The 24105-nt window shown below is 38.3% G+C and overlaps 1 long non-coding RNA gene across 3 annotated transcripts; it reads right to left on the reverse strand.

Moving 5' to 3' along the window:
- Positions 1–1571: 1571 nt before the first annotated feature.
- Positions 1572–22518, reverse strand: LOC105371970 (uncharacterized). 3 transcript variants are annotated; one of them, XR_935111.3, is made up of 4 exons: positions 22091–22518; positions 12631–12829; positions 2522–2616; positions 1572–1661 (listed from the first exon to the last, which is right to left on the reverse strand). It is a non-coding gene; the product is annotated as an uncharacterized LOC105371970 (long non-coding RNA). The 3 variants fall into 3 exon arrangements; XR_001753331.2 differs by lacking the exon at positions 22091–22518 and having other exon boundaries at positions 12631–12990; XR_935113.3 differs by lacking the exons at positions 12631–12829; positions 22091–22518 and adding an exon at positions 2937–4093.
- Positions 22519–24105: the final 1587 nt, after the last annotated feature.

The raw sequence follows: 24105 nt of genomic DNA on the forward strand, positions 1-24105 counted from the left end.
GGATTGCATGGTAAATATGTAAGTAGAGAAAGAGGTCTAGGATAAATCTGAAGGAACTAGGCAGAGAAAAATGAGCTAATAAAAAATCATAAGCAGCACCCAAATAAAAGGGAAAGAAACCAATAGAGTGTGGTGTCATGGCTGCTAAGGAGAGAAAATATTTCCAGCAGGGAGATTTTCATGGTGTCAGATGCTTCAGGGAGGCAGTAGATAATGAGGACTGATACCTTGGCAGAGCAGCTGGGAGGGAAGGGAAGCAGAGGAGCAGCTGTGGACAGAGTGGAAAGTGTGAAAGCCGAATCAAATTTCCTGAGTTAACTTTGTAGTTCTTCCTCTGTCCACTGGCTTCCAACTCCCTCCCCCCGACTACACTCGTGCATTCCATTCAAAGTATTATTTGTTGCAGTGGTCTCTCATATCCTGAAAATTGATGATATGCTTCCTTGAGGTCTTTCATAATTTATCTTCTCAGTTCCACCCCACAAACAGGCCTCCTTATCACTGAAATGGGTCACTGTGTTTAGTTTCCCAGTTGGCCTCCCTGATGCTAGTTTTGCTTGTTTCCACTTCATTTTTCACACACCACACCACCATCAACTTTTAAAATGCAAATATAATAATCTTTTCCCCCTGCTCAAAAGGCTTGAATGGCTCTCCATCACATGTAAGATAAAGTACAAATGCCTTGGCACAGCCTGCCAGGCTTTCCAATTCTGGTTGCTTCCCCTTATCCCCAGAGGGCCTCTCCTTCTCGCTTCTTGGACTATTAAGCTTATGCTCCAGCAACACAGAATTCCTCAGACTTTTCCAAACATGCTGTGTTTCCTTGTGGCTCTTCTTTTTCAGGTGTTTGGAAAAATCTCTACTCATCTTTCAAGATCTACATCAAGCATGTCTTCCTTTATAATTTTTTTCCTGATCCCCTCTGTACCCATCCATGATCACTGCTGCACTTTATTCTTATTTACTTCAATCATTATTCTTTTACTTTTTATCCAATACATCCTATATTGTATTCTATGTTTATCTCCCCCAGGAGATATGACCTCCTGGAACACAAAACTATTGTACTCATCTTTGTATTTCTAGTACTTATGGCAGTGTCAGATATGGAGTGCAAACCTTAAATTGCTGTATCAGCTGAGAAAGCCTTACTGCTCTTCCTGATATCAGCATTATTGCTTTACCAATATCAGAGGTGGGTCTGCAACATGGTAAAGGATGCATGTCTGTGTAATTACATTATGTCTGCAGGGTGTCCCCTGGACTCCAATGAGGGAAAGAACACCTTCCACATTAGGCTTGGGTCTTTTGTTTAAATGCACCTTGGATATCAAACACCTTCTTTCTCAACTTAAGCACTTCTGGGGATTTAGTCTCTACCAAAATTTCCATGAGAAATTATCTACATTATCAGATCGCAAGCCAGGCTATACTCCAGGGCTTTTTAATCCAAATGGCTCATTGAGGATTCTGCCCCAGAGACCCAACAGTGTGAGGAAGCCCATGGGTTGCATATTAAGGAGATGCTGGACAATACCACCTATCTTAACAGAATACCTGAGATCAAGTAATTTGCAAAGAACAGAGATTTATTTCTTACAGTTCTAGAGGCTGGGAAGTCCAAAGTTGAGGGTCTGCATCTTTCAAGGGCCTTCTGACTGTGTCATCCCATGGTAGAAGATGGAAGGGCAAGAGAGCATGTGAGAGAAAGCAAGAGGAAAGGGAGCTGAATTCATCCTTTTACCAGGAATCCACTCATACAATAACTAGCCCACTCCCCTAATAATGGCATTGATCTATTCATGAGTGCAGAGCCCTCAGAACCTAATCACCTCTTAAATGTCCCACCTCTCAGTAGTATTGAAATGGAGATTAAGTTTCCAACACATGCTCTTTGGAAGATACGTTCAAACAGTCTCACTGCCTTTTTCACTCAATGGCTAAATGTAATTTTTGCCTCTGGAAAAAGCTGCTATAGCACTAGTGAGGCCAGTCTAGGTAAAACTCAAAAATAAGAATTCTTCCAAATTCACCTATCTTTTACTCTTTTCCCAATTTGACTAGATTTTTTTCCATCGTTACCTTGTATACACATGCTTTCTACATTTTTACAATTAGGAATAATTTTTTTGTTGGTCACTACTTCAAGCAAATTTTTTATTGGTCTGTGTTGCTTTAAAAGTTCCCTCATTACTCACTATTACAGTTTAATTCTTGAATTCTGATAGCCAAAAAGAAAATAACTTTATGCAAGGATCCTTCTTTTGATCAGGTAAGCACGACTGAGTACTAATTGACTAAATCAGTCCCAATATGAGTCATTGAAGACTATTCTTAATAGATCTGATTGTAGTAATTGTTCTTGCTATAAAGTGATCTCCACTTCATTTTATATAGCATTTATAATATTTATGGATTTTAAGGAATAATCTGGCAGGCTCTAATGTGATAATTTCTGTATAGAAATTATTTTGAAACACAATAGCTTGCCTTGTAAAATAACTGTGGTTATCTTTACCTCTAGGTGGGCTTCTCAAAATCGTACTTTTGAGTGAACCAGGAATATCTTCATGTACATGGGTCACATATTCCACATTCTTGTGCCTCTTCTCCCTGAGGCAGATGAGGCATCAGAGGAAGAAGGTAAAAAAACAAACAAACAAATGAAAACCCACAAGCAACCACCAGTTAGAATCAAAGAGAGGGGTCAGTCATCCAAGGACAGGCCCTTTCCCTGTTGATAGCCAAAATGGAGTATAATTCACTGCCCCACTGTGTCTAGCAAAGGTTCTCCCTCCTGGTGTGTGCAAGGATCAGAGACTTGGGGGCAGGACCAAACTCTGAAGATGTAAACAGTGTGGTAATCTACTCATGTGCCTGGCTGATTTCACCCACTGTGTGTTGCAGGGCTCAGGGAGTACGTTGCTATTTACCTGCACATGATGCTGCCTTGTCATTCCCTTGTTTCCTGCATTCTGACAAACTATGCTTCCAAATCAAATATGTCATTTACTGAATTATCCAAATAAATTTTGCTTGTCATGCTCCTTCCTCAGTGGTAGTGCTGAATCTTGAAATAAAAGGTGGACTTCTTAAAACATGGGCTTCTTGAGAACCACATAAGAGCCTTCACCAAGGCCATAGGACACAGGAGGCCTTAGAGACTGTGAAGCCCACCCAAAACCTCAGCCCTCTGCAGATGTGGCCAAGTAGTCTCTTGGAGAATATTGCTGTGGGACCTTGAAGCTTTCAAGTTTACTTTGGAGAATTCTCATTCAAGCTCTCAGACCAAATGATTTGTGAGATTTGAGGAAAATGAAAGTAATGTAGTGCAGATTTGCAAGGCGACCTAAAACAAGTTAACCGAGTGTTTCATTACATCAGAAAAAGTAATGGCCACCGTGTTCTTAGGAAATCTAATTTGTTCAATAACAAACCATGCCAGAAAAATGACAACTCATGCTCAAAATGTCACAAGATTAGCTGAGCAATATTCCTGCACTGAATCATTCCTTTACTAATACTGACAGTCACCTAGAGGTTATAGTCCAAATAAAAATATCAAATTATGCAAGATTTTATCTGTAGTACATATGTCAAGATTAAAAGAAAATCACATTAAAGTGAAAAAAGAAAAATGTATTTGAGAGCCTCTCTGGACTCTTGGAAATGAAAATTTCTTCACATATTCAGGTTAGCATTCCAAGATAATGTCTCTTAGCTTGATACCAGAGGCAGTACTACAACCACTTCCTTCGAAGACTTGCCTAGTCTTGGGCTGGAAGAACAGTTTATAATTTCCAATGACAGGTGTAAGTGAAAAATGTCATCCTTTGTTTAAGTTTCCAGTTAGGTAGAAACTGCACCTCCCCATCTTGCCTTCCCCCGACCTCCACTAAAAGAGTAAGCAGAATGCTTTTCATAGATGAAGAATCAGACACAGGGAGTGGAAATGATTTACTGGAGCTTAAATTCATATAGGAAATACCACTAAATAGTCATTTGTGTGTAGCCCAAGGATGGAATTAGAAAGGATCAGAGGGCTGCAGTGAGCTGTGATCACACCACTGCATTCCAGCCTGGGAGACAAAGCCAGACCCTGTCTCCCCGTGCGCCCCAACCATGACCCCCCACAAAAAAAAAAAAAAAAACAGAAAGGAAGAAATAAAGAAAAAAGAAAGGCTCAAATGTGTATTTTTATAGTGTCTTTGCACCTATTTCTTCCAATAGATAAAAAAGCATAACAGAAAGTGGGGGTTGGTAAAGAAAATAATCTATAAAATATGACATAATTACATTAGAAATCACTTCATATTAAGAACTACCTCTTCAACTGTATGCTGTCTTTACAACCCAGCAGGACTGGAGACATGGGGTAGGAGGTGGGAAGTTGAACTAACCTACTTAAGACAATTTCTTTAAAACTTGCAGGTAAATAAGCTATACAATAACACTGAGTGATCTAAAAGGAAACCAAGAAAACAATTCCACTTACAATAGTATCAAAAAGAGTAAAATACTTAGGAATAAATAAAACTTAGGAGGCAGAAGACTTGTATACTGAAAACTATAAAACATTGCTGAAATAAATTGAAGACAAAAATAAATAGAAAGACATTCAGAGTTCATGGATTGGAATACTTAAAATGTCAAAATGTCCACGCTGCTCAAAGTGATCTACAGATTCAATGCAATTCCTGTCAAAATTCTAATGACCTTTTTTGCAGAAACAAAAAAAATCCACCCTAAAATTTATAAGGAACCACAGGGAACCTGAATAGCCAAAACAATATTGAAAAGGAAGAACAAAGTTGGAGGTCTAACACGTCCTGATTTCAAAACTTACTATAAAGCTACAGTGATCAAAACAGTGTGGTAGTGGCATAAAGACACACATACAGATAAGTGGAATAGAATAGCCAGCCCAGAAATTAACTTTCATATATACAGTTAAATGAAGGGTGATAAGACCATTCAATTGGGAAAACGTCTTTCCATTTGCTAACCATTCGTTAATAGTTTTGAGAAAATCAGGTATCAATTTGTAAAAGAATGAAGTCAGACCCTTACTTTACACCATGTACAAAAATTAACTCAAAATGGATTAAAGGCATAAATATAAGAGCTGAAACTATAAAACTCTATGAGGAAAACATAGGGGGAAAGCTTTATGACATTGCATTTGGCAACAGTTTCTTGAATATGATACCAACAGCACAGGCAATTATAACAAAAGAATAGATAAATTGGACTATATCAAAATAAAAAATTTGGTGCCTCAAAAGTCACTATTGATAAAATGAAAAGGCAATGGACAGAAAGAGAAAACATTTGCAAATTATGTATCTCTTAATGGGTTAATACCTAGAGTCTGTGAAGATCTCCTACAACTCAGAACAAACACAAAACCTGATTTAAAAATGGGCAAAGGACTTAAATATACGTTTCTTCAAAGAAGATATACAAATGGCCAATAAGCACATGAAAAGATGCTCAACATCACTAATCATTAGGAAAATACAAATTCAAACCATAATAAGATATCATTTCACACCCATTAGGATAACTATCGTTTTTAAAAAACAGAAAATAACAAGTATTGGCAAGGATGCACAGAAGCTAGAACCCTTATGCACTGGTGGTGGGAAGGTAAAATGGTGTGGCCATTATAGAAAACAGTACAATAGTTCCTCAACAAATTAAAAACAGAATTTTCATCAAAAGAATTGAAAGCAGGGTCTTGAAAAGATACTTGTACACTCATCTTCATAAGAGCATTCTTCACAACAGTGAAAAGTGGAAGCAATCCAAGTGTCCACTGATGGATGAATGGGTAAACAAAATGTGTATACATACAACAGAATATTAACCAGCTTTAAAAAGGAAGGGAATTCTAACACATGCTACAACATGGATGAACCTTTAAGATGCTATGCTAAGTAAGATAAGCTAGTCACAAAAGGACAAATACTATTTGATTCCACCTATGTGAGGTATCTAGAGAAGCCAAACTCATAGAGAAAGTAAAACAGTGCTTGCCAAGAACTGTGGGTAGGAGGGAATGGGAAGTTAGTGTTTAATGGGTATTATGTTTTAATTTGGGATGATGAAAAAGTTGTGGAGATGGACGGAGGTGATGGTTGCAGAGAAAGGGAGTGAATTTAATGCCACTGAACTTAAAAATGGCCAAAATGGTAAAATTTATGTTATGTGTATTTTACGACAATAAAACAATCGCAGAGAATCCTCATAAGGAGAGTTTAGGAGATAGTCATTTAAAGACCGCAAGTCATTGTGCATCGTCTCGGATAAAGTAACACAAAAAGACCTTTTGTAAGTAAGACACGATTCACATTTGCCTTAAATGTAAAGGTATTATATAATCTAGATATGTTCTGGTATCTAAGATGTAATGTAGAAGAATAAAAAAGGTAAGTCATAAGTTATCAGCTTCTTATTTGATTCCCATACTTACATTGTAAAACCATTAGAAGTATGTCTGCAAATCATCCAGAATTACACATCTTTGCAGAGTAATCAGTGGCTAAAAGAAAACAGCAATGGTAGGAAGTAGATTTGTTTTTAGAGCAAACACCCAGATTTCTGAGCTTCAGCTTGTACTGAAGTATTTCTAGGAACAGGGCCTTCAAAGATTTATCCATAAATGCTCTGGAACATTGAGGAAATGTGTTCAGAGATAGGAAAGACAGAAAAATAATTGATCAATAAAACTTTGTATTTTAAATTTTAATATAAATTTCCTTCATAACAATATTTTATTTCATTTTACTTTAAGTTCCAGGATATATGTGCAGAAAATGCAGGTTTGTTACATGGGCATACATGTACCATGGTGGTTTGCTGCACCTATCAACCCATTGTCTAGGTTTTAAGCCCTGCATGCATTAGGTATTTGTCCTAATGCTCTCCCTCCCCTTGCCCCCACCCACCACTAGGCCCTGTTGTGTGTGGTTCCCCTGTGTCCATGTGTTCTCATTGTTCAACTCCTGCCTATGAGTGAGAACATACGGTGTTTGATTTTCTGTTTTGTGTTAGTTTGCTGAGGATGATGGCTTCCAGCTTCATCCATGTCCCTGCAAAAGACATGATCTTATTCTTTTTTATGGCTGCATAGTATTCCACGGTGTATTTGTACCACATTTTCTTTATCCAGTCTATCATTGATGGGCATTTGGGTTGGTTCCATGTCTTTGCTACTGTAAATGGTGCTGCAATAAACATACATGTGCATGTATATTTACAGTAGAATGATTTATATTTCTTTGGGTATTTACCCAGTAACAGGATTGCTGGGTCAAATGGTATTTCTGGGTTCTAGATCCTTGAGGAATCACCACACTGTCTTCCACAATGGTTGAACTAATTTACATTCCCACCAACAGTGTAAAAGCATTTCTATTTCTCCACAGCCTCACCAGCATCTATTGTTTCTTGACTTTTTAATAATTGTCATTCTGACTGGCATGAGATGATATCTCATTGTGGTTTTGATTTGCATTTATCTAATGATCATTGATGTACAGCTTTTTTTCATATGTTTGTTGGCCACATAAATGTCTTCTTTTGAGAAGTGTCTGTTCATAAAGGATTCCCTATTTAATAAATGGTGCTGAGAAAACTGGCTAGCCATATGCAAAAAACTGAAACTGGACACCTTCCTTACACCTTATACAAAATTTAGCTCAAGATGTATTAAAGACTTAAATGTAAAACCCAAAACCTTATACCCTGGAAGTAAACCCTAGCCAATACCATTCAGGACATAGGCATGGGCAAAGACTTCATGACAAAAACACCAAAAGCAATTGCAACAAAAGCCAAAATTGACAAATGGGGTCTAATTAAACTAAAGAGTTTCTGCACAGCAAAAGAAACTATCATCAAAGTGAACAGGCAACCTACAGAATGGGAAAAAATTTTTGCAATCTACCCATTTGACAAAGGTCTAATATCCAGAATCTACAAGGAACTTAAGCAAATTTACAATAAAAAACAAATAACCCATCAAAAAGTGGGCATAACAACATTTACAATCCATCCTTGCTACATTTATGTTTTATAGCTTTTTACTCTCTACTATACTAGAACATAAGCTCCACCAAGATAGAGATGTTATCTGTCTAAATCACAATGCACCTCGTGTATGAAACAAAACCTGGCATATAATAAGTATTGAATATTTGCCTGCTGAATGAATGAATAAATGATGTTTTATCTCCAGTAGTAACTAACCCAGTGTCTTATGCATGGTTGGTGCTCAATACATAGCTGTTGATTTGATTGTGTATTTCATCTCCATCATGCTATGCACAAATGTTTGCCTTAGCACTGTATGAAAATTTATAGTTGCTGGTTGGTGCTCAATACATAGTTGTTGACTTGATTGTGTATTTAAAAAGAAATGCACAAGAGTGACAAGTTTATAATGGCAAAATAAGACTTTTACTGGTGCTCCAAGGAACACGTATTGTATTTTAATTAAGATATCCTGGACTGCGGGACGAACAATGATCTTATGAAAATTTAAGAAAGGAAAAGTGTTGCTGGTTAAGCTAGGATCCATCATCAGTTGTAATACACATCTTGACTGCAGAGATTTTAAGCATATGAAAAATGCATCTTAGAATTTAAGATACATGGTATGTATCATAGAATATTTTTCATAGGACCTACTGTAATATGTCTCTTTTTTCATGGAAATCTTGGACTAAAAAGAATCCTAAAGGGCATTCGTATAAATGTTCATACAGTGCTAAGGCAAACATTTGTTCATAGAATGATGAGGATGAAATTAAGGTCCCTATAAACCCAGTGATGTTTAGGCAGCATTTGAGGAGGAAAAAGATGGAACTTAAATGCTTTCCCTCTTCAGTCCATACCACCTTATCAGACTCCACACACACATTTTTGTGAGAAAGGAGAAGGGAGAAGAAGCAGGAGTATGGCAGTTGTCTTGATCAGATTTGACCTTCTAAAGATCGCCTTGTATGCAATGACTGGTGAAGACCAAAAGAGGACACAAGGTGACCAGCTGGGAGGCTGTTGAAAAACTTCCCAGTGAGTAACATAGGATGGTGGAGGTGGAGACAGGGTGAAGTACACAGAACCAAGAGACATCGTGGAAGCGATGTGGAAGCCTTCCTGATGTGATGTGTATGTGATGTGATACATACATTGTTTATTTTAAAGCCCTTTTAAAATTGTTTGGCAAAGGCTTGTACTGATGAATGCCTCTGTTTTCTAAGTTCAAACAATAGCACACATTGGGAAACATTTCACTAGTTTTAAAAACATATAGTTTTTATAGTAGAATGATCTATAATCTTTTGGGTATATACCCAGTAATGGGATTGCTGGGTCAAATGGCATTTCTGGTTCTAGATCCTTGAGGAATTACCACACTGTCTTCCACAATGGTTGAACTAATTTACACTCCCACTGACAGTGTAAAAGCATTCCTATTTCTTCACAGCCTTGCCAACATCTATTGTTTCCTGACACATGCACACATATGTCTACTGCAGCACTATTTACAATAGCAAAGACGTGGAACCAACCCAAATGCCCATCGATGATAGACTGGATAAAGAAAATGTGGTAGATATACACCATGGAATACTATACAGCCATAAAAAGAATGAGATCGTGTCTTTTGCAGGGACATGGATGAAGCTGGAAGCCATCACTCTCAGCAAACTAACATAGAAACAGAAAACCAAACACCACATGTTTTCACTCATAAGTAGGAGCTGAAGAATGAGAATACATGGACACAGGGAGGGGAACAACACATACCAGGGCCTGTTGGGGGTGGGGAGCAAAGGGAGGGAGAGCATTAGGACAAATACCTAATGCATGCAGGTCTTAAAACCTAGATGACGGGTTGATAGGTGCAGCAAGCCACCATGGCACATGTGTACCTATGTAACAAACCTACACACTCTGCACATGTATCCTGGAACTTAAAGTAAAATAAAAATAAATATAGTTTACTTGTTTATTTTAGTTAGACAAAATAATAAGGTTTGTATATTTCTGAGCATATTTTACATTTAACTAATTTTTAAAGAATAATAGACTTCTTAATACTAGAAGGAGTTTCAGTGTGAGACTGGAGTAGAATAGAGACTCTTAGGAGGGCCTTGCCTCAGGGGGCATGAGAAGTTGAGGGAGCAGCACGTTTGCACTCTCAAATCTGTGGTCAGGGCCAAGTTGGAGAAACTTCTGTACTGATCCATGCAGCAGATTATCACTTTGCTAACTATGAATTATCCATCTGCGTTTTTGATACTTCCAAAAACACTAATATGGAAGAAATAACATACAGTTCCATGTCTAGAGCTCCCTTACCCTACTATTACAAAAGGCAGATGGAGGTAGCATGGAAGAAGGTGCCTGCCAGTTTCACCTCCATCCCCAGCTGTGTCTGCCTTTGCTCCTCTCTTGTGCATTGCACACTCTCCTATTGCATTTTGACCTAGATTCTGAATGCATATAAAGATCAAGGGAAAACTGAATAAAGAATAAAATTACATTTGTGCATGTGTAATTTAAGGACAGAGCTTTAAAGGAGAAAGAAAATTACCAGCACAGCTCCTATCCAGTATAAAATAATGTAGCAAGTTAAAAACAAGGACAAATCGGTATTTCATAATAATGTGTATTATAGTACTTAAATAGGAAGTGGGTTAGAGGTCGGTCATTCTACTTTTTATTTTATTATTTTATTTTTTGAGATGGAGTTTCTCTCTTATCGCCCAGCCTGGAGTGCAACGGCATGATCTCAGCTCACTGCAACCTCCGCCTGCTGGGTTCAAGCAATTCTCCTGCCTCAGCCTCCCAAGTAGCTGGGATTACAGGTGCCCACCATCATGCCCAGATTTTTTTTTTGTATTTTTAATAGAGATGGAGTTTCACCATATTGGCCAGGCTGCTCTCGAACTCCTGATCTCAGGTGATCTGCCCACCTCGGCCTCCCAAAGTGCTGGGATTACAGGCATGAGCCACCACACTCAGCCCATTCTACTTCATTTCCATTGCCTGTAACTTCAGTGACATCTGATAAAGGGGCGAAGTTTATTATTTTATTTTATTTTATTTTATTTTATTTTATTTTATTTTATTTTATTTTATTTTTTAAGAGACTGGGTCTCCCTATGTTGCCCAGGCTGGTCTCGAACTCCTGGGCTAAAAGTATCCTCCTGCCTCAGCCTCCCAAACTGCTAGGATTATAGGCATGAAGACTCACACCCGGCCAAGGACTGAACTTTCAAAGACATGCTAGAACTGAGTCCTATAACTGAAGGCTCAAGTTGTAGGTGGAGAAGAAAGTGTGCAGTGAGTCTTCCACCTCCAGCTGGAGGATCATTCCACAGGAGACTTTATTAGAGACCCATATCACTGGGACAGCCTACAGCGGATTCTTTACTGTCTTTTCCCTAATTCTATGCTAAGATTTCTACTCTAAGAGACTTAGAGTAAACATCTCTGAAGTTTCTGGCTTCTACCTCATTCCACTTTAGTTTCTCTCCCTTAGTTTTTAATCTTTACTTTTTAAAGACTTTAAATATATTGGAACATTAAATTCTATCTGGGCTGCAGAAAGATTTTGTTGAAGATGATTACGCTTTTTGCTCTGCAACCATCTGAGTTAGGCAGACTTTATTCAAGGGAGGCTACTACAATGGGGTTTCAGGATAGGGAAGAAAAATTGGACTTAACTCAATATAATAAGGTAACGTGGGAATTTACACCCAAGGAGCAGTTTGGAAGTCAGTGGATAAAAAATTACTAACAGGTAGGGCAATTCTTTGTTAAACTGACCTAACAACATTTTTGCTGAAGGAGACCAGTGTAATCAACCATCACCTGGGGGACGGCGGAGGATGAGGGTTCTGATCAGATATTGAGGGTGATCAATGGGGGACTCCAACTAAACTGACTAAGCAGGATTCTTGCTAAAACTGGACAAATTCAGAGATGAACGCAGAAATCCAAAAGCCAAGGCCTACTTGAGAAGACAGTTCAGGGGAGTCTGGCTAGAATTTGATCAAGGAGAGAATCTTGTCATTCTCTTTTGGGGATGCCCAGTGCCTGTGGATGTGACTTTGGGTAGGGCAGTTACAGATGAAATTAGTTAAGGTGAGGTCGTCTGTCATAGGATCAACCCTTAATCCAATATGACTGTTGTCCTCATAAGAAGGAAAGACACACACACACCACACCACACACACACACACACACACACACACACACATACATACACAAAAGGAGAGAAAGCCATGTGACAAGGGACACAGAGATAGAAGCATTGCAGCCATATAGTGTGGAATACCAAGGATTGCCGGCCACCACCAGAAGCCAGGAAGAGACAGGAAAGATTCTCCACTCCAGGTTTCCAAGGGTGCACAATCCTGCCAATGGCTTCATTTCAGATGTTTAGACTCCAGAAACGTGAGACAATAAGCCTCTGTTGTTTTAAGCCGTGCATTTTATGGTACCTGTTAAGGCAGCCATAGTAAACTAGTACCTTATCCATTCACCTATCTCCCTGTGCCTATTCATTCATTCATTCAGTCAGTCAAATGACGCTTGTTTAGCACTTACTGTGTACTATGCACTGTACAGTGTATAGTGTACTGTATCTCCGAGGAGGCAAAGATGAGAAAGATACCATCTCTGGTGCCAAGGAGCTTGTCATCTCAGGAGACAAGGCACTGTGGGACACGGAGAAGGAGGACTTGTCTTGGTGTCTGAAGGTGTGGCTGCGTGGTGGCCATGGAGGACTTAGTGGAGAATGGCTAAACTGAAACAAGAGGAGACGGCTATGGTGAACACAAGTCCCTTTCAGGTATGAGTATAAAATGCAATATTAAAAGGGAATTTAGAATTTCCGCAAACTAACCTTTTAGCAAATAAAGAAATTGACGCCTTTACAGGTTGTGACTAACGTGGCATCTCAGAGCTCGTGGTAGAGCCAGGACAATTGTCACTGAGAAGAGAACCCGCTGTGCACGCTGGTCATGCAAGTGCTTCTCTGGCTACTCTCCCTGAACTCTCCCCACAGCCCTCAATTCACAAATAAGGTTGCTTAAGGTTTAGAGAGGGGATGTGATTTGCCCAAGTACAGTGAATTGTTTGTCAAATGGCAGAGCCCAGATCAAAGCTGATTTGGGGCTGCAAAGCCCGGCCACGGCATAATGCTACTCACCACAGGTTTTAACAATTCCTGATCCAGTTTTCTATCCATTCCCACCTTGCCTTACAGTTTATAACATACCAAATTAAAACCAGACACTTCCCAGACAAGAGCTGCCTTGTCTCCGCAGATGACAAACTTGTAATGTAAATGAAAACCCCTTGAAAGAAATTAGAATTAAAATGTAATTGTGCCTTTAGGCTCCACATTCTTTTAACCCCAACAGAATATACTATTCATAAATCATGTGACTAATACAAGAATATTCATATGTCCCTATAAATATGGAATTTAAGCTACCATTTCTATTGTTGTTGCAGTCATCACAGATATGGATAAGATATATTTCTCTTTCACATTTTAAAGAAAGAAAAATCTAATGAAAATTATTGTTACATGTTGATGTTCAGAGTATTTCTGATAACTAAGCTTATTTATTACAGGAATGTTTTCAAACAAATTTATTTCAAATACATTTTGATGGTCTTAGAATTCAGTGTATCTGACTATATCAGGTTAAAGAGTAGGACAATATAAAATGTTAAAGATAAGGGGGTTGAGAATGAGGTGAGGAATACTATATTTAAAAAGCTTAAACTACAACCACAACAATGTACAATTCAATATGAAAATGTTATGTTGAGGATATATATGTGCATATATACTTATGTATATATGTGTACACACACTTGTTTTATATAGATCAAAAAGAACTCACCAAATATTTATCCACTAAATTTTGTCATCCTAGGGTAAGGGAGTATCCCTTGAAGCTTGAAAAAGCAAACTGAGGACAAATAAATGTAGTCCTGCTTTAAGAAATAGTAAAATTATGGATGTGTTATCCTAGGAGGCAGAGACAGTAGAAATGGAAATTATAAATAGCTTTACCAATGGACTGGATAAACTAATGGATCACAGATATATAGGCAATTATTGGGATTTTTTCAGAGGGATAAAGCATTAGGCTCTAGGTTGTTATTGCAAAGTATTATGAGGAAATCGCCACTTCTTTTCAACAATAGAAGATTATCCACGTTTGGCCACCAGGGCAGATGCTCATCACCACATCCAGGCATTCTCATATGGTTCACAGTGGCTTTACCCAGCAGGGACAAGGCAGATGTTTACCAAAGCTTTGGGAAAACAAATGGGAAGAAGGTACAGAGACCCGTGACACTTAAATATCTGTCTTAGTAAAGCCTGGTAAATATAGCTTATGCATCTTCTGTTGGTGGCTTAGTATTTAAGACCCTTTCAGGTCTATTATCTGAGACCATCTTATTATCTACCAAACAAGCCCACTTCAAAGACATCTACACTCATTGGTATCCATAATTGAGGGAAGAAAACCTCAACAAAAGAAGAAAGAGGGAAAGAAAGAAAGAAAGAAGAAAAGAAGAGAAAAAGAAAGAAAAAAGAAAGCAAAGAAGGAAAGAAAGAAAAAGAAAAGGAAAGAAAAGAGAAAGAGAGAGAGAGCCTTTCCTGACCTACTTGAGGCCTGCCTTTGTAGACTTAATTTCTTGAGGACTAACTTCTTTCATGTATCCCTGAAATGGAAAATGACCTCACCTTCCAGGGCGAGATAAGACTTTCCCAGAGGGCTTTGAAATTTCTAGCAGGCATCCGCAAGCATTCATTCTCCCGGGATACAGTATAATGCAGAAACCCCATTATACATAAAAGAGTTACAATGCCAGGTGTGCCTGTGGAGGGGGAGCATTTCACTGCAGGACAGTCATATTTTTCCCCAACTTTCTTGTGTTCAACAGAATTGCGAAGTGAAGAAAGTCAACATAGCTTTCCTCACAGATCATTTAAGATTTCAGTCCATCAAATGTATCCCTATATATGCATTTCTTCACTGAACCCACATGGAAAATATAAACAGTAGATGTCCTTTTGGCTGTAAAACACATAACTGATTTTCATTCCTGGCTCACAGAAATCAAACTCTTTGTTATGGCTGAACAATATTGTAAGCCAGTGCTCTAAATGCTTGAAAGATTTTTAATCATTTATTCAGTTAAATGATTTTCCTGATTTGTCATTGGTCTCATGCCTTTGTTTATGGTATCTTTTCTCTAGTAAAGTTTTGAATATTCCACAGCCCTTTTTTTAAATAGGTTCTGGATTTCCAGCCTTGAATAATTTATGATCTTTACTGCTGGATTACATAGACAGAATTTCATAGTTTCTTGTAAGGTTTTTATATTTTATTAAGTATAATTAAGTGTTTGGTGCATCTGGCATAAATTTTTGTCTATGGTTAAGATGGAGATACCCACTTTTATTTTCTTCCAAAAAGACAGGCATTTATGTCAGCACCATTTATCAAATAAACCTTTTCCTCCATTGAATTAAACTTTTTTCCACAAAGTAATTCTCATTTACTGACGCTGAAGTCATTTATTTGTTTATTTATTTTTGGCTCCTTATTCTATCTCATGATCTTTTTTCTTTTCTTATTCCAATACCAGGCTGTTTTGAAGACAGTAGCTTTATTCTATGTGCTACTGTACAGCCTGGGGCCTCAGCACTGATCAGAAAAACTGGCCTTTCACTGCATGGACCCCAGTGAGCTGACAGCCCTGCAAAGTTGGAGCTGGGCAGCCCCCAGCAAATGACTGGCATGGCAGAAGCATTGGGGCCTGGCCATTTCTACCCAGGGCGGGACTCCTCCAAAGGCAAAGTTTTTGCTCCAGGGCTCTTGACTAGGTTGGCCAGGACTTCATCATAGGTACATGGCCCTCAGGGACCCTTCCTCCCTCTCCTTTCACACATGTGAGGTATGATCAGGATTGAAGCTCTCCCTGCTCAGCCTTGCTTGCTCCCTTTCATATTTTACAGGCACTACCCACTCCCCCATCAAAGGACTCAAACTGATGCCTACAGTAATCTACCCCCCACCACTGTACTTGTTCATCCCCTTTTCTTGGCTAATCTTTGTCTTGTCTTTTATTCTTCCATATATACATTATCAGCACATTACAGAATTATCTCAAAAAAGTTGGAATTATAAATGAAATTACATTAAATTTATGTATTAATTTTGAGGAAATCAACACAATTGGTAATTGTATATTTAATAGTGTATTTGCTTATTGTTTACATCTCCTATTAAACTGGAAGCTCCACAAAGACAGGTATTTTGTTTATTTTATTCACCACTCTGTACCCAGTGCATATCACAGTGGCTGGTATATGACAGATACTTTATCAACATTTGCTGGATAAATGAAATAACCAACATCCAAGGCTCATCACTTTAAAAGATGAATAAAGACATTTCAAGGCAGACATTATATGGTCAGTGGAGTAGTTGTTACTAACAACCTGCTATGCTAATCGAGCAATATGCAATGCTGATCCTATTTTCCACAGCCTATTATCCAATAAAAATGGATTTTTTTTTTAACTTTTAAAACTTGTTTTTACACATATTATTCAAACTTGGAATACATTTACTGATTGAAACAATATTTTTAAGTAGAAGTTAGATTCCTAGGCTATTCTACAGTATATGCCACTCTTAATACTACTTTTTGGATTAAACAGGCTTTTGTGGAACTAATCACTGTGTGTGAAAGTATTATAATAAGGATAAAAGCATTAACAAATTCAATTTGGAGTCCAGGACGTATCAATCTGTTCTCTCCCACCATCCCCAGCACTTAGAACAAGAGGAAAGGAAGCACAGCCCGGGGAAAGAGCACAGGTCACGTTTCATCTCCCTCTCGTAGCAGTCAAGTGGCTTTGCAAAATTTAGCATTATCGCTCTTGGACTCATTTCTATACTATCTGTAGTAACAATGACATTGTATTTCAGCACTGCTTCTTAACCAGGTTAGTATGCATTCAAAGCACCTGGAGAGATTTTTTGTTTTATTTTGTTTTGAACCAAAAATACTGATGCCGAGTTCCCAACCTGGGATGGACTCTAGATATGTAGATTTAACAATCTGCTCAGGTGATTCTGTGTGGACTCTTATCAGCCAGGAAGTCTAGGTTATGCTGCAGTAATAGAGGAATCCTGAATTTCCTGTGGCTCGCCACGTAGTTTATTTCTTACTCACATTCATGTCCAGTGTGGGTTGTAATGGAGTGGGGGGCTCTGTTCTACAGTCCTTCTGGACCCAGGATCACAGAGACTCCATGGTCTGGAACATTCTCATTACCATGGCAGAATGAAAAAAGGAGCGTCATGTACTGCAGTTAAATGTTTGCCCGGAAGTGAGCTGCATCACATGGTCATAGTCACATGACCCTGCCTCCCTGCAAGAGAGCTGGGAAGTGTCCTCCTCTGTGTGCCCAGAAAATGGAAAAGACTCCTGTGCTGAAGAGCAGTACCAATGTCTACACAGTGACATCATTAACAATGACTTCACTTGATCCTCAAATTAAAGGAGCTATTTCAAGTAGAGTCTATGACTTTGTTGTCCAATATGGTACCCACATAGAGCTATTTAAATTTAAATGAATTAAAACTAAATAAAATTTAAAATGCAGTTCCTCAGCTGCAGTAGCCACATTTCAAGTACACAATAGCCACTTGTGACTCATGGCTGCTCTACCTGACAGCACAGATATAAAAGATTTCCATCATGCAAAGGTTCCATTGGACAGGGCTTATCCAGTACACGGTTGGTCTCCTTGCCCTTGTTAGACCATAATTCTAGTGTAGCCACATGCACAGCCTCTATGTTAATAGCAATGCTCTGACAATAGTGCTGGCCTTTGCTCAGAAGCTCACCAGAGGAAAGGGTATTTGGAAGTTAGACATTCACAGGGCAGAGAATGTAAGTATAGGCTGAAGGAAGGTGTATGATGCATCTCCGGTTAGCAAAGCTAATGATAGAGAGATAGAACAGAAACAAAGAGATATGAATTAAAAAGGTCCAGTGGAAGACTTGTGCAACAGAGCAAGACCTTGTCCTCCACAAAAAATTATTGGTAGATACAACGGAGACAAGATCCCTCTCTTTGGGTCCTCAGTTATTTCAAGAGTGTGAAAAGATTCTGAAAGCAAAGTGTCTGGCTTAGGACATACTCTGAACTTTGTGACAGAACACCATGGACAGCTCCAGTAGCTGCTATAACAGGGCTGGAACTACCTAAGATCTAGCATCATATCCAGAATTCCAGAATTCCATGTATTCACTCTTCAGACAGGCCATGAAAAAAAAAATCTCAGAGCATTTTAAAAGAATATTTTAGAACTGAACTTGGGAAATATTTATTTCTATTGATCTCTTCCTTAGGAGTAGATTTAAAGAAATGGTTATTTAAAATATTTTATTATAATGATAGAAAATAAACTGCCAGAATGACACATATTTTGCATTAACATAACAGATTATTCAGAAGTGTGACTAAAACTTTTGCTTAAAAAATATATTAACTTGCCCAGCACAGTGGCTCATGCCTGTAATCCTAGCACTTTGGGAGGCCAAGGTGAAAGGCTCACTTGAGCCCAGCAGTTCAAGACCAGCCTAGGCAAAAAAGTGAGACCATGTCTCTACAAAAAATAGCCAAGTAAAATATGTCCTAAGCCACTTTGTGTTTTCAGGACCTTTTCACGCTCTTAAAATAATTGAGGACCCAAAGTGTCTTGTCTCAGTTGTGTCTACCAATAAATTTTTATGGAGGACAGGGTCTCGCTCTGTTGGCTAGGCTGGAATGCAGTGGCGCAGTCATGGTGCTACACACCTGTGGTCCTGGCTAGATGGAAGGGTAGGCAGGAGAATCATTTGAGCCCAGGAGGCAGAGGCTGCATTGAGCAGAAATTGTGCCACTGCACTCCAGCCTGGGCAACAGAGCAAGACTCTGTCTCAAAAAAACAAAAACAAAAAAAGTATAGTCACTTGGAAGGATGGTTTTACAAAAATATGCTAGAATTATGAGTAAATATGCTGATTGCTCTTTAGCCACTACAAAAGTGTTTCCAGGGTAAGTTTTCTTGTTATAAAACTCTTCTATAATTGTTATTTTTAAATTTTTAAAGTTCTTGGTATTAAGTATGCGAAATGAAACATGTATAGAGATTTGACGGGGCAGTTGTTAAATATAAATTTAGATATAGTAATAAAGCATCTAAAAATAGCTACCTAAATGAGTCTTATTCAAAACTCTACTGGCTGCTAAGAGTTTGCACTTATCTCTAGATTAGAAAATGTATTGTTATCATTCTGATTCTATTTTAAAAAAGCAATAATAGGTAGGGCTTGGTGGCTCACGCCTGTAATCCTAGCACTTTGGGATGCTGAGGCAGGTGGATCACCTGAGGTCAGGAGTTCAAGAACAGCCTGGCCAACATGGCAAAACCCCATCTCTACTAAAAATACAAAAAATTAGCTGGGCATCGTGGTGGGCACCTGTAATCTCAGTTACTCAGGAGGCTGAGACAGGAGAATCGCTTGAACCTGGGAGGCGGAAGTTGCAGTGAGCTGAGATCATGACATTGCACTTCAGCCTGGGCGACAAGAGCAAAACTCCCATCTCAAAAAAAAAAGAAAAAAAAGCAATAATATTTCATAACAATAAAATGCACTAAATCATATTTTAAGCATTTCCCCCATACTATCATTAGGCATATGTTATGGACTGAATATTTTTGTATCCCCAAGTTCATATGTTGAAATGCTAATGCTAAAGGTAATGGTATTGGGGGTAGGGCCTTTTGAGGGGGAGGTGATTAAGTCATGTATGGGATTCTTGTCCTCATGAAAGGGATTAAGTGCCTGTAAAAGAGGCCCCAGAAAGCTTCCTCAGTCCTTCCACCCTGTGAGCCTACAGCAAAAAGACAGCTACCTATGACACAGGAATGTGCCAGCACCTTGATCTTGGACTTCTCTGTCTCCAAAACTGAGAAATAAAGTTCTGCTGTTTATAAACCTCCCAGTCTATAGCATTTTGTTATTGCAGCTCAAGTGAACTAAGATAATGCATATGATAAATTTCCAAATGTTGTTAGACAAGAACACCTGAAAAATTGCAACTATTTCTCCTCTTTGAATTACTAAGTAAGCTGATTTTTGTGTCCAAAACAAGAAAAGCAAAAAACAAAATATGGATAACATTAATTTTATTATATATTATGTTTTCATATATTAACGTGGAACATGTAAATACCTAAAAATTGGCTTTTATAGCAATTCCAGCATTGAAGCTTCAAAGATTCACAGCCTTGTTGTGGGGTGGGGGAGAGGGGAGGGATAGCTTTAGGAGATATACCTAATGCTAAATGACGAGCTAATGGGTGCAGCACACCAGCATGGCACATGTATACATATGTAACTAACCTACACATTGTGCACATGTACCCTAAAACTTAAAGTATAATAATAATAAAATAAAAAAAAAGAAAAGTGTGATCAAACATATTGATTTCATTTCCTTTGGGATTCACTCTATATTATCTTTGTGGATTTCTCTTTGCTTGTTGTAAAGAACATGAATATGATATGAATATAACATTTAAGAATATGATATTTAAGAATACAAAATCTCATTGTGATGTAAATCATATATCATGCAAATAATTCAAATGTAGTCTTGAATATTTACTAAATAATGTTCATAATCACTCTCTGAAGCAGAGAAGCTAGTCAACTTTCCTCATTTAGCAGAATGAAAGTTAAAGTAGAGTTTATAAAACAATCTGTAGTTTTTTGCATTTATAGTATTGCTTACTGCTATCCCAGATGTACTTGATACATTATATATTGAAACACATGACATAGTCCCAATGTACATGAAACTTAAATCTATTTGAGCAGTAGATGAAAAACAAACAGAATAATTTAAAAATTAGAGAATACTTAAGTTTTAAGTCATTTGGTTCAGATTGGAATTCAGACAAGGAAAAAATCACTTCGGACTATTTGAAGTTGTTGAATAAGCTTTACAAGTTAGGGGAGGCTGAGTTCTGCAAACATTTATTGAGCTAAGTGCAGCAGGACTTAGGAATTTAGTAGATAAGATATCTCTGACCACAAAAACTTCAATTCTGGTAGGACAGACAGTAATACTTTTAATATAATGTTGGATGTCTAACAGTAGAGAAATGCAAAGGGACAGTTTGCTTGGGGAGGTTAGCCATGGACACTTGGCCATGATGCCTGGGCTAAGCCCTGAAGAATGAGTGAAAGTCAATCTGTTGAAGAAAATGGGACAGAGGGTCCAGGCAGAGGGAGCAGCATGAATAAAGTCACAGAGTTGTGGCACATCAGTCAGTACATAGAGAACAACACCTCATTTACTATAGCATAAATGTAGGCAAAGGATTGGGACAGGTCCCAACCTTCTTGTGTGGATAGGTTGGCATGGGTGGTGGGTCATAGGAACTGAAGTCAAGCTGGAGATGAATTTGGGTCAGGGTTGGGGGACCAAGGCTTTGGAGAATAACAGTGGACTCTTGGTGTCCTCACCTCTTTTTGACCCAGTCACATAATGCACTCATATCTTTATCATATTTTATTTATCTTAGGCTCTGGGCTGACAAAAACTGTCGACTAAAGGTCTTGCTGGTATGAATAGGGAGGACCACACAGAGGAGGATGCAGGAAAAATTTTTTTCCAGGTGGGACAAGTGCGAATGCAGGGAGGGCAGATAGAACGGCCAAGTCTATGCTTTGTCGGGATGAGAACACAGCTGTGCCTGTGTCAGAGCCTAATGTTGTTGCTTGTCCTTGAGAATGAACAGACCAGTCTAAGGCCGTGAGGAAAGATAATCAGCAAATTTCAATTACATTGGGCTCAAGAGTTCTAGTTTGGGTACTGGAACTGGGGCACTTTGATTCAGGATCCTTGAGACACACGCAAATTAAAATGTGGAATGGAAACACTTATAGGTCCCTAGGTACCTACCTTTAGCTTAGTCTTTGGACTTTGCAGAGCAGAAGTTCCCGACTGGTGTGGCAAGGCACCTGTGTGCTCCAGAAGGTGCGTTGTGGAATACTGACCCTCTTAGTCTATTGTCTCTAGCTTAAATGATTGTAAGAGCCTCCCAAGAGTTCTCTCTCTGCTGCAGCACTCTCCACACTACAGTCTGTCCTCAACACAGCACAGAAGGCACCCTTTAAAATGTAAAAACGTATTGTGGTTTATTACTCCTCTGCTATCAACCCTGTGTCAGCTTCCCATCTTGTTTAGAATGTTCTCGCAATGGCCTTCAAAGCTCTGCATCATCTGACCTCTGTGATTTCTCTCATTGCATATCACACTAGTGCCCACCATGGTCATTCTGCTTAATGTACAATGGCTATGATGTTTCTTTTTTTTCTTTTTTCTTTTTTTTTTTTTTTTTAAGATGGAGCCTCGCTCTGTCACCCAGGCTGGAGTGCAGTGGCACGATCTCGGTTCACTGCAACCTCTGCCTCCAGGATTCAAGCGATTCTCCTGCCTCAGCCTCCCGAGTAGCTAGTATTACAGGCGTGGGCCGCCACACTCAGCTACTTTTTTGTATTTTTAGTAGAGACAGGGTTTCACCATCTTGGTCGGGTTGTTCTTTAACTCATGACCTCGTGATCTGTCCGCTTCAGCCTCCCAAAGTGCTGGGATTACAGGCGTGAGCCCCTGCGCCCAGCGACCATGATGTTTCTTAACAAGTGGGACACACTCCTGCCTTGGGCCATGCATAGGCTTCATACTTCTGCTGGGAACGTTCTTCTTCCATGTATCCACTTGGCTCATTCGCTCTTCTTTTTTAGGTCTTTGTTCAAATATCACCTTGCTAAGGTCTTTCCCTGACCACACTATTCAAAATTGGCCAGCACTGTCATTGCTCAGTATCTCCTATCATTACTTTATTTTACTCCATATCACTTACTTTATCTAGTATATTAAGTATATTTAAATAGTACTTAACATACTATTTAGCATATTGATTACTAAATATTTACTTATTTTGTTAATCATTTGTCTCCCCTGACTAGGAGTAAGCTCCATGGGGGCAGGGCTGCGGCATTGTTACAATTGTTCATGGCTGAATCACTGGTACCTAGAGTACAACTTGACAAATAATAAAAGATCAATAACATTTTTTGTACGAATGAATAAATTTTGAAATAACTGACATTAAAAAGTTCAATTAAATTAAAAAACCCATTAACATTATCTCCAGAATTTAAAAAAATATATTCATCAATATGAGAGTTGTTAGAATATTTAAATATAATAATCAGCTACATTATACATTTCGAATGATCACAGAATCAATGGTTTTTAAATTTTTATTACCTAGTTGTTTAAAGAAAAAGTTCCTCATCATTGGAGACTATCAGAATTTTAAGAAATAATCACTAAAATTTATTGTTCAGGAATAATGTGGAACCATGTCAAGCATTAAAAACAGATATTTTAAAAATAAAAACAAGAACCATGTTAAATTGATCATTAATATTTTAGAATATTCTACTTAAAATATTATTTTAAAATCATAATTATATTCCATGATATAGTCTTTATATTTTAGCATAATTATATAAAGTAATTTTTCACAAAAACCCACAGATATCTTAAAATGCTTTCTTTTTTTCCCCTTTTGCCATGCAAAATTATCATAATTATATATTTGCAATTTCTAATGATATAATGACAAGAAAAAAACGTCTCTACATGTTCAGTTACAGACACAACCATTATAGGCCTAACTACATTTTGATCTATGGTTGGTTGGATCTGTAGATACAGAACCTATGAATACGAAAGGACCACTTTCATGGGCTATTAATTTTAAACGGTCTGGAAGCTCTAACACAGAGGGCTCATCCTGAACACATGCCCTCAAGTGTGAATATGGGCTTCGCATTGAGGGATGAGGGCCCAACAGTGTCTACACTCCAAGCTAGGGGTTGAGCTGGGAAGTCTCTGGAATTGAAGTG

Source organism: Homo sapiens, chromosome 18 (genome assembly GCF_000001405.40).
Source record: "Homo sapiens chromosome 18, GRCh38.p14 Primary Assembly".
NCBI lineage: Eukaryota > Metazoa > Chordata > Mammalia > Primates > Hominidae > Homo > Homo sapiens.